General features: G+C 39.2%; 1 protein-coding gene across 50 annotated transcripts in view; it reads right to left on the bottom strand.

The window, feature by feature from the left end:
* The window catches only part of BIRC6 (baculoviral IAP repeat containing 6), a 261856-nt gene that overhangs the window by 197089 nt on the left and 52704 nt on the right, over window positions 1–12063 (bottom strand). For all 50 annotated transcript variants that reach the window (XM_006712055.4, XM_005264451.5, XM_047445167.1 and 47 more), the window contains exon 10: window positions 5627–7021. In XM_006712055.4, coding sequence (XP_006712118.1) covers window positions 5627–7021 — 1395 coding nt within the window. The remainder of the gene's footprint in view (window positions 1–5626; window positions 7022–12063) is intronic.

Here is a 12063-nt window from a genome sequence, read left to right as displayed (position 1 = left end):
CAAGTGCACACAGAACATTCTCCAGGACAGACCAGATGCTGGGTCATGAAAAAGTCTCAATAAATTTCAAAATACTGACTTCATATAAATTATATTCTCTGACAGCAATGGAAATAAGTTTGAGATCCAGAACAGAAAGAAATCTAGAGAAACCTCAAGTATTTGGAGGCTAAACAAAACACTTTTAAATAATCTCTGGGCCAAACAAGAAATCACAAGGGAAATTAGAACATATTTTGATCCAAATGAAAAAAAGGAAAAACACAATGTATCAAAATTTAGGAGGTATCACTAAGACAGTGCTTCCAAAAATATTTATGGCTTTAAATTTCCTATATTAGAAAACATCTCAAACCAATAAGCTTCTACTTTAAGAAACTAAAGAAGGCCAGCGCGGTGGCTCATGCCTGTAATCCCAGCACTTTGGGAGGTCAAGGCGGGCAGATCACGAGGTCAAGAGATCAGTATCATCCTGGCCAACGTGGTGAGACCCTGTCTCTTCTAAAAATACAAAAATTAGCTGGGCGTGGTGGCTCGGGCCTGTAGTCCCAGCTACTCGGGAGGCTGAGGCAGGAGAATCACTTGAACCTGGGAGGCAGAGGTTGCAGTTAGCCAAGATCGAGCCACTGCAGTCCAGCCTGGCGACAGTGAAACTCTGTGTCAAAAAAAAAAAAAAAGAAAGAAAGAAAGAAAGAAAGAAACTAGAGAAGAGCAAAATAAACCCAAATCAAGCAGAGGGGAGGAAATAATAACAATAAAATGGAAATCCAGTAAATGGGAAAACAGAAAAATAACAAAGAAAAAAATGTCATTTAAATCAGAAGCTGGTTGTTCTGAAAAAAAAAAAAAAAATCAATAAAACAGATAAACCTCTAGACAGATGAAGCAGGAAAAAAAAAATACAAATCATCGATCAGTATCACAAATGAGAGTGGTGACATCCCTAAAGAGTCTACAAATATTAAAAGGAATGTAAGGAGCCAGGCATGGTAGCTCACACCTGTAATCCCAGCACTTTAGGAGGCCAATGCAGGTGAATCACTTGAGGTCAGGAGTTCAAGACCAGCCTAGCCAACAGAGTAAAACCTCATCTCTACTAAAAATACAAAAATTAACCAGGCATGGTGGTGTACCTGTAGTCCCAGCTACTCGGGAGGCTGAGGTGACAGAATCACTTGAACCCAGGAGGCAGAGGTTGCAGTGAGCCAAAACTGCACCACTGCACTCCAGCCTGGGTGACAAAGCAAGACTCTGTCTCAAAAAAAATAAAAAGTAAATAAAATGATTGTGGGGAATATTATGAAATTCTTTACGCTAAAACTTCATAACTTAAAAACTGACAAAAAGACTGTCAGAACTCACTAAAAAATAAAAAATAAAAAACCTTAGGAAGTCTCTATAAACATAATTGAATGTGTATATTCAAAATCTTCCCACTAAAAAAAATCTCTGGGCCCAAAGAGCTTCACTGGCGAATTCTACCAAATATATAAGGAAAAATAAGACCAATTATACACAAACTTTACCACAAAATTGAAGAGCGAATACTTCCCAACTCATTCTATCAGGCAAGCATTACACTGATATCAAAACCAGATAAAGATTACAAAAAGCAAAAACTAAAAAAGAAAGATTACAAGGAACATATAATATCCCTGATGAACGATATGCAAAAACTATGAACAAAATTTTAGCAAACTGTATCCAACAATATATAAGGTAATGCATTATGACCAAATGGGTTTTATCCCAGGAACGCAAAGTTGATTTGATATCCAAAAGTCAATCAATATATTTTACCATACTGAACTAAAAAGAACAACCAAATGATCTCCATGGATGTAAACAAGTATTTGACAAAATATGACGTTCATTCCTATTGGAAACTCTTAGCAAAGCAGGAACAGAAGACTAAAGGAATGTTTTCCACAAGAAACAAGTACCAAAACAAGGATGTGACCATACAGTCCAATAATCCCAGATAGTGAGATTATTAAAGACTTTCAAAGCAATTATGGCTCAACTTATTATCCTCCTTCTGAATATCAGTACAGGTATATAGGCTTTATGTTGTTGGGGTCATATTTATATTCAGTATTGTTATATTTCATGATATGTTCCCTATTAATTGCGGCCTTTTAAAAAACTTTATTTTTTAAGCATTTTTTGTCAAGTATCATAACTGCACCCTATCTTATACTCCACTGATACATCTTAGTCTTCTTTCTCATTTAAGTCTTTCCTGTTGATTTTAAATGTATTTGCACCAAGCAGAATACCAATTTATCTTTCACTTTAAACTCTCAATTTTTGAAATTCATACTTTTTTATTTTATGCCTTTTACAAAATTTTATATGTAGTGTGTATATATTCTATTCCTGAATTATCAAAGATAGCTTAACAAATCTACATTTAGTATATTATTAATCCTATATAAAATTAACTTAAAACATATATTAACTATAGATTTATTTTTATGAAAAGACTTGATTCTCCACAAGAAAAATAGTTTTATGTTATTTGAATATACTCAGAAGACAGGGTCACATCCATTTGATTCAGTCTGAGATGCTTTTTAAAAATCATACATGTACATACATTTTAAGGCATCAACTTTTCTTTCCGCTTTGTTATTATCTTTTCAAATGCACCTTCATCAGTCAATCCCTGAAGAATTAGGAGCTCATTTTGAAAGCAACTAACTTCTCAGGTTTTTCTTATCTTTCATCATCTGGATAAATTCCCTATCACATGAGATCATGTTCTAGGAATTCCGGACTGTACCAACTCCAAGAAAACCACCATCTATTTTAAATACTTTTTTGTTTGTTTGTTTTGTTTGAGATGGAATCTTGCTCGGTAGCCTAGGCTGGAGTGAAGTGACGCGATCTCAGCTCACTGCAACCTTCTCCTCCTGGGTTCAAGTGATTCTCCTGTCTCAGCCTCCCAAGTAGCTGGGATTACAGGTATGCACCACCACACCTGGCCAATACTTTTATTTAAATGCTAAAAAACTTAATAACTTAAATATTTAAGGTGTAAATACTATTTCTCTTCTGAGTTACCTAAAGCATAGCTCATCAAATAATTGAAAGCATTAAAAACCCTTATTGCATTTCTGGAAAATAGTAGTTTCTTATAAAGATGTGCACCGGGGTGCCATGTCACCTAGGTTCCAAGTCCAGCTCCATTTTAGATGACCTACAGCAAGTTAAATAATTGTCAATTTTTAAATCTTTCAGATTAAAAGAATGCAAAGAATTCAGTGTAAGATTCTTCATCTTTTGTTGTATTATGGCAGTATAATGCCATTTAAAGTGCTCTGATGGAAGACTCCCAGGTTTGAATGCTGGCTCTGACATTTATTAGCTCTATTACTTAATAAGTTACTTAACCTTTCTTTCCTTCAGTATCATTATGTACAAAACGGAGACAATAATAGTATATTAAAGTTGGTGTGATGACTAAACGAACACAGGTAAAGTTCTTACAACAATGAACTGGCACATATATGACCAATAAATTCAAATTATCTCTGATACCACACAGAATTTTAATGGTTGTTCTGAAATTCTCAACTGTAATTCCAAGTTTCATTAGTCTAAAGTTACTAGACTACACTGCTCATTTTCTAAATTAATCTAGTTGGATTTTTATGATATTTAAAGATTTTTTTCCATTATACTTTCACTAGAAATTACAGAAATTTCACTGGGTACAGTGGATCATGCCTATAATCCCAACACTTTGGGAGGCCAAGGCAGACGGATCGCTCGAGGTCAGCAGTTCGAGACCAGACTAGCCAACATAGTGAAACCTCGTCACTACTAAAAATACAAAAATTAGCCAAGTGTGGTGACGCGCACCTGTGGTCCCAGCTACTCAGGAGGCTAAGGCCGGAGAATCACTTGAACCTGGGAGGCAGAAGTTGCAGTGAGCCAAGATTGCGTAACTGCACCCCAGCCTGTTGACAGGGTGAGACTCTGTCTCAAAAACAAAAAATAAAAATAAAAAAATAATTTCACTACATATAGTTCAAAAAAGGCAATCTAACCACTACATTTCACCATTACGTTCCTTGGCTAAACTCTTGAAATCTATTTAAAGAGAGGAAAAACAGTCTAATTACTATCAGAACCACAGATGAGATGCATGCGTAACTCTGCTCAGATCCTAATTCCTCTGCCATGCCTTAGTTACAGTCACTTAGGCTTCAACTATCTCCTAGTCCTAAATTCCTGCTAGACAATCAATAGAACTATTCATTTTGCCTGATATTGTCAGTAATCCTTTTCAAAAACTGCTTTATCTCCCTAACTTAAAATGTATATAAGTAAAAAAAATAGGCCAGGCACAATGCCACACGCCTGTAATCCCAGCACTTTGGGAGGCCGGGGCAGGCAGATCACTTGAACTCAGGAGTTTGAGACCAGCCTGAGCAACATGGCGAAATCCCATTTCTACAAAAAAATACAACAATTAGCTGAACATGGTAGTGCGTAGTCCCAGCTATGCACTGTAGTCCCAGCTATTCAGGAGACCAAGGCGAGAGGACTACTTGCACCCAGGAGGTTGAGGCTGCAGTGAGCTGAGATCATGCCACTGCACTCCAGCCTGGGCAACACAGTGAGACCCTGAGAAAGAAAAGAAAAGGCCTGGCATGGTGGCTCATGCCTGTAATCCCAGAACTTTGGGAGGCTGAGGTGGGTGGATCACCTGAGGTCAGGAGTTCAAGACCAGCCTGGGTAACATGGTGAAACCCTGTCTCTACTAAACATACAAAAAATTAGCCGGGCATGGTGCCACGTGCCTGTAATCCCAGCTACTTGGGAGGCTGAGGCAGGAGAATTGCTTGAACCTGGGAGCGGATGTTGCAGTGAGCTGAGATTGGGCCACTGCACTTCAGCTTGGGCAACAAGAATGAAACTTCCTCTCAAAAATAAAAGGAAAAGAAAGGAGGGGAGAGGACGGGGAAAGAAAGGGGAGGGGGGAAAGAAAGGGGGAAAGGGGAAAGGAAAAGGAAAAGAAAGGAGAAAAAAAGAAAAAATAACTGCACACTATCTTAATCTATATAGTGCTTCAAAATTTGCAAAACTAATTCACTACTAGCCAAAGATCAGGAATAAATCAGACAAAAAAATGTATTTAGCAAAACTAAAAATTGTTTGCTAAGTATTTTTATTTCAGAAGGAAATAAGGACCAATAACTGTGCCAGAAACTTTACATAATTTCATTCTAATAAGCCTAGGAAATGGACTTTCTTATCCTAGTTTATAAATAAATAAAAACAGGTTTAATGAATTTAACATAACTTGCCCAAGGTCATAAATTTGAGCAGATGCAGAGTCAGGGACTCACTGAAATAAAAGCACGTGATTTTCTTGAGGTTAAAGCAGAAGATACTTGCTAAGTGACTTACTAACTTATTTACAGTTAGAATCCTTACCTAGGGCAGTAGAAAAAAGTTTTAAGAACAGTTTAAAAAGAAGGATTTACCACTTCATTACAAAAAAATTAATTCCTCCCCATCTATTTGAACCTAAAATTCATACTAGGTTTGCACATAAACAAATGCCATATATACATGGATTTTATAAGATTTATAGCATAATCAGACAACTTACCTTTGGTGCATGCACACAGCCTGTCTGTGCCAGAACAGTAAATCACAGAAACAAATGTGTCCTGTTCCTCAGTGCCCTCCTTTTTGGGAGGCTCCACTTTGGCCAAAATTTCAAAGTTTGAAAGATCTAGTATTTTTACATATCCTCCCTGAGTGGTTATTACCAGGTGTCCAAGAGTAGAAATGTCAGACGTTTTTTCTCTCTCAAAACCATTCTTTGAGGTTAACTGCATGTCCTCAATAGGTTCCTCACAGTCATCCTCTCGATTATCCAATATATCGGGTGGAAGCAAAATGAGCGAGGTAATTGTGTCCTGGGGATCTTTGATATGTTGTATTTTTATTGGCTCCTCTTCTAAAGTCACTATCCGAGTGGCATAATTCATTTTATAAAGCACTAAATATCCACCACTAACATTCCTCTGCTCAGGCTGAATTATTAAAGGAGTCTGTACATCTGCTGGTGATTCATGTTGGATTACACTAATATTTGCACCATTCACTACAGCAAGATTTGATTCCAGCTCACCTTTCCGTCTATTACATAGTGCAGAGTTTAATTTATTTAAATTATTCAAGGCCTCTACTTGATTTATTGCACTCAAGGATTCAACAGGGCATGTCCGCAGTCCTACCAACAAATGAATTCCGTCAGCACAAGGAGTTATTGAGTCTATACAAAGATTCTCCTCCTCTGCAAACTTTGGCAGCCTCAAGCACTGAACCAAAGTCCCAGGCTTGGGAAACACAGAGTTCCACTTCTCAGAATCCGGAGAGGTAAGGTTGGCTGCTGCATCTGCAAATTGCTGAATGTAAGTCACAGGAGGATCCTGCAATAACAACTGCTCCTGACTATCCAGCTCCATTTCAATAATCTGTGGAACAGTAAAACCATCATCATGCAAACTTTTACTCATAATATTGTTCATCTGTGAAAAGATCTTTCCTGCTTTCTCATCAGATTCCTTGATGCTATAAAGAAGCAAAACCGGTAAAGTCCTCCTTACCAGAGGAGAATTTAGTTCTGAATTAGTGCAGGATTCATTGTCAGTTGACCCTTGTTCTGATATACTTTCACCCTGAGTTCTGCTTAAACCATCCAGTGACCTGTGAGAATTACTACTAATGGGTGAGGTAGCAGGAGATTTATATGTTAATAAACCTCCAGCTAATAAACATGGAAAAGGAATGTTGTGTTGCTCCTGGTGCTTTTCCTTTGTCTTTTCACTCTTAGAGTTTGTTAAACAAGGATTTGCCCCAAGTTCTTCAAGATCCTTAACAGTATCTTCAAGCACATTTGCAACAATCTCCCACTGAAGTTTTTCTGGCTGTTGGAGAATGCTGAGTGCTGTTATATCAAGGCTTACTTCCATGGCTTCCTTCTGTGATGTATGCCCTTTAAAAAGGAACAATATTCATTAGATATGTTTCTACTCATCCAGTCAGCACATTATGAATACACAAGTAAAATTATTTATTTATTTATTTATTTATTTTTGAGACAAATTCTTGCTCTGTCACACAGGCTAGAGTGCAGTGGTGCAATTTCGGCTCACCACAACCTCTGAATCCCAGGTTCAAGTGATTCTAGTGCCTCAGCCTCCCAAGTAGCTGGGATTACAAGCTCACGCCACCACACCCAGCTAATTTTTCTATTTTTAGTAGAGCCTGGGTTTCACCATGTTGTCCAGGATGGTCTCAAACTCCTGACCTCAGGTGATCCACCCACCTCAGCCTCCCAAAGTGCTGGGATTACAGGCGTGAGCCACCACGCCTGGCCTAAAAAAATTTAAAGTGCAGTCAGCCCTCCATATTCACAGGTTCTACATCCACGGATTCAACTAACTGCAGATGGAAAACATTTTTTATTTACTTATTTATTTTCTGGAGATGGAGTTTTGCTCTTGTTGCCTAGGCTGGAGTGCAATGGTGTGATCTCAGCTCACCAAAACCTCCGCCTCCCAGGTTCAAGCAATTCTCCTGCCTCAGCCGCAAGAATAGCTGTGCCACCATACCCAGCTAATTTTGTATTTTCAGTAGAGACATGGTTTCTCCATGTTGGTCAGGCTGGTCTCAAACTCCCGACCTCAGGTAATCCACCCGCCTCGGCCTCTCAAAGTGCTGGGATTACAGGCATGAGCCACCGTGCCCAGCCGGAAAACTTTCTTTTTTTAAAAATGGATGGCTGCATCTCTACTAAACATGTACAACATGTACAAACTTTTTTGCCAATTAACAATAGAGCATAACAACTTTTTACTCAGTATTTACATTGTAGTAGATATTATAAGTAATCTAGAGTTCATTTAAAGTAACAGGAAAATGTAGATGTGCATAGGTTATAAGCAAAACTATACCATTTTATACAAGGGACTTGAGCACATCCAGGTTTTGGTATCTAGAGAGGGTCCTGGAACCAATCCCCCATAAATACCAGGCTGTTTTTTTTCTTTTTTTTTTTTTTCTTAAGACATAATCAAATCTAAGATGAGCTTACTCAGAAAAACCGTAAAGGTATTCAAGGGACTCAAAATTATTTTCAACTTAGGCCAGGCAGGTGGCTCACATCTGTCATCCTAGCACTTTGGGAGGTTGAGGTAGGCAGATTACCTGAGCTCAGGAGTTCGAGACCAGCCTGAGTAACATGGCAAAACCCCGCCTCTACTAAAAATACAAAAAATTAGAGGCTGGGCGCGATGGCTCATGCCTGTAATCCCAGCACTTTGGGAGGCTGAGGCGGGCAGATCACCTGAGGCCGGGAGTTTGAGACCAGCCTGACCAACATGGAGAAACCCCATTTCTACTAAAAATGCAAAATTAGCTGGGTGTGGTGGTGCATGCCTGTAATCCCAGCTACTCAGGAGGCTGGGGCTGGAAAATCGCTTGAAGCCAGAAGGCGGAGGTTGTGGTGAGCCAAGACCGCACCATTGCACCACAGCCTGGGCAACAAGAGTGAGACTATGTCTCAAAAAAAAAAAAAAAAAAAAATTAGCCGGGCATGGTGGCACATGCCTGTAGTCCCAGCTACTCAGGGAGGCTGAGGCACTAGAATAACCTGAACCTGGGAGACAGAAGTTGCAGTGAGCTGAGATCACGCAACTGTACTCTCTAGTCTGGGCAACAAGAGTGAGACTGTCTCCAAAAAAAAAAAAAAGTCTTTTCAATTCAAAATATATTCTCTTGGCAATTTGTGAGCAAAACCTTTTTTCAAAAAAGTAATGTGATTAAAGAGTTAAAAAATATTATTTATACATAACTTTAAATTAATATCAAAGTAACAGAATTTCTGCACTTCAATTCTAAACCAAAGAGAGAATACTACTTATGCATCTGTCATTTATGCGCTATGCAAAATATCCATTAAAAAAGATTGTAATCTCAGTTTCCTTTCTTTCACCACTCTGAAGGAGTTATAAGCACCATTTCTTCTCTCTCACCCCATCCTCTGCTGATTATCAGTGGAATGTCAGAAAATACAATTCTAACCTCAGTTTAGAAAAAAAAAAATAACTAGGAAGAAAAAGTTCCAAAACTGTATCATCTTTATGTGAAACATTCAGTGTCTTCTGTATTATCTGCTAATCTTTATTTCATTTAAAGCCACACAACTACATTACATTATATCATCTTATTCACCTTTATTCTTTTCTTTTTTTTTGTTTTTTTTGAGACAAAGTCTCACTATTGCCACCCAGGCGGGAGTGCAATGGCATAATCTCAGCTCATTGCAACCTCTGCCACCCAGGTTCAAGGGATTCTCCTGCCTCAGCCTCCTGAGTAGCTGGGATTACAGGCACCTGCCACCACGCCTGGCTAATTTTTGTATTTTTAGTAGAGATGGGTTTTCACCATGTTGGTCCGGCTAGTGTCGAACTCCTGACCTCGTGATCTGCCCACCTCGGCCTCCCAAAGTGCTCGGATTATAGACATGAGCCACCATGCCCTGCTGACCTTTTTTCTATTGTGCCTTCTTTAAACTATTCCCTTAAAAGTAGTACAGTCTCAGAACTCAGTTTCTATACTGAAACACAGGACTGAGTTTCTCAGTCTCAACCTTTAAACCTGTGATATTAATCACAAAGCCAGGCGTTGTGGTGCATGCCTGTAATCCCAGCTATTTGGGAGGCTGAGGTGGAAGGATCCTTTTAGATTAGGAGTTCCGTTCAAGACCAGCCTCAGCAACACAGTAAAACCCCGTTTCCAGAAAACAAAAAAAGGAAAGAAAGTCTTACAATAGATGTCAGTCAACTCCCAAATCAAGTATAATCTCTTGACGCTAAACTGAAAATTCTTTCCACTGATCTGTCTCTATCTCAATGGCAGAAACTTCTTTCAGTCAGGCAGCAACATCATTAGCAATAATACCATAAAGACCACTACAGGTTAGGCCAGACGCGGTGGCCCACACCTGTAATCCCAGTACTTTGGGAGGCCAAGGCAGGCCAGATCACTTGAGCCCTGGAGTTTGAGAACAGCCTCTCCAACATGGTGAAACCCCGTCTCTACCAAAAACACAAAAAGTAGCCAGGCATGGTGGTACATGCCTGTAGTCCCACTGCTCAGGAGGCTGTGGCAAGAGAAACTGCTTGAACCCAGGAGGCAGAGGTTGCACTGAGCTGAGATCACGCCACTGCACTCCAGCCTGGACAACAGAGTGAGATCCCGTCTCAAAAGAAAAAACCACTCTAGGCGATTTTCGAAAATACAAAAAATAGAAAATTTAAAAAAAAAAAATAAAAAAATAAAATATATATATATATATATAATTGCCTTAATGATTTAGATTGGAAAAACAGAGAAAAGGAAATAAATATAAAAGTGCTCAAGGCTGGGCGTGGAGGCTCACACCTGTAATCCCAGCACTTTGGCAGGGTGAGGCGGGTGGATCACCTGAGGTCAGGAGTTCGAGACCAGACTGGTCAACATGGTGAAACTCCCGTCTCTACTAAAAATACAAAATTAGCCAAGCGTGGTGGCATGTGCCTGTAATACCAGCTACTGGGGAGGGTGAAGCAGGAGAATCGTTTGAACCCGGGAGGCAGAGGTTGCAGTGAGCCAAGATCACGCCATTGCACTCCAGCCTGTGCAAAAAAGCAAAACTCCGTCTTAAAAGAAAAAAAATGAACTCAAGGTGACTCCATGAAGGTTTGAAAGTTGCCCAAATAGGCTGGGCGCGGTGGCTCACGCCTGTAATCCCAGCACTTTGGGAGGCCGAGGAGGGTGGATCACAAGGTCAGGAGATCAAGACCATCCTGGCTAACACAGCGAAACCCCGTCTCTACTAAAAATACAAAAATTTAGCCGGGCGTGCTGGCGGGCACCGGCAGTCCCAGCTACTCAGGAGGCTGAGGCAGCAGAATGGCGTGAACCCGGGAGGCGGAGCTTGCAGTGAGCCGAGATCGCGCCACTGCACTCCAGCCTGGGCGACAGAGCGAGACTCCATTTCAAAAAAAAAAAAAAGAAGTTGCCCAAGTAGAGCAATAAGCAACTGAGATTCATGAAGAACCACTTAGGGTAACTCAAAGCTCTGTTTACACCATTTTACACTATTTTATTCATGATCTCTTCTACATGCTCACTGGCATATCTAGAATTTCCCATAATCTGGGGATGATGTCATTTCACATAACATGACTACTACCCCCTAAAACGGAAATATTTTCTAGCTACAGCAGAAAAAAATTTTCAGTATAAACATGATTTAATTGTATTAATGAAGCTGTTCACTTATTTAAATACTCATTTGGCTATAGTCACATGCAGCCTTTTTTCTGTCATTCAATATTCATGTATATTTTCTCTACAATTCAGATTGGAAATTGAAGGCTGACTGAGGTGGTTTTGTTTTTTGTTTTGTTTTGTTTTAGACGGAGTCTCACTCTGTTGCCCAGGCTGGAGTGCAGTGGCGCGATCAACTGAGATATTTTTATAACATGTACTATACCACAATAAATCCTGAGGATGCCCAACTGGACTAAACTGACAAATTTACTTAAATGTTTTCTTTCTAATCTATGTAGGAAACTGCCAAGAAAAAACAATTTTGGTCTATGTATATACTATGACAAAATAAACCATAAATTACATATATTAACACAAATTTCAGTCAATATTCAAAGTAAATGGTATGTGAGGTGAGACTTTATTAAAAAGGAAAATATTACAAGTGGCATTATTACTTTGCTGCTTCTCAAATATTTATTCAACATGTGGGAAGCAGCATAAACTATACATTCTACTCAGAAGGGTGACAAAGCACACTGATGACTGACAAACGCCCTGCAGAACTTGTCAACTCTACCTATTTCAGAATTTCTAAAACCTACTAGGCCAAAAAATAAATTTTTACACAAATACCTACAAACAAGCACCAGCATAATATTCTTCAGACAATCATTTTAAAAACCCTTCTCTATTCTGCTTATTTGGGTAGTGTTA

This window comes from Homo sapiens, chromosome 2 (genome assembly GCF_000001405.40).
Source record: "Homo sapiens chromosome 2, GRCh38.p14 Primary Assembly".
Classification (NCBI taxonomy): Eukaryota; Metazoa; Chordata; class Mammalia; order Primates; family Hominidae; genus Homo; species Homo sapiens.
This window is presented reverse-complemented; position numbering and strand designations above follow the sequence as displayed.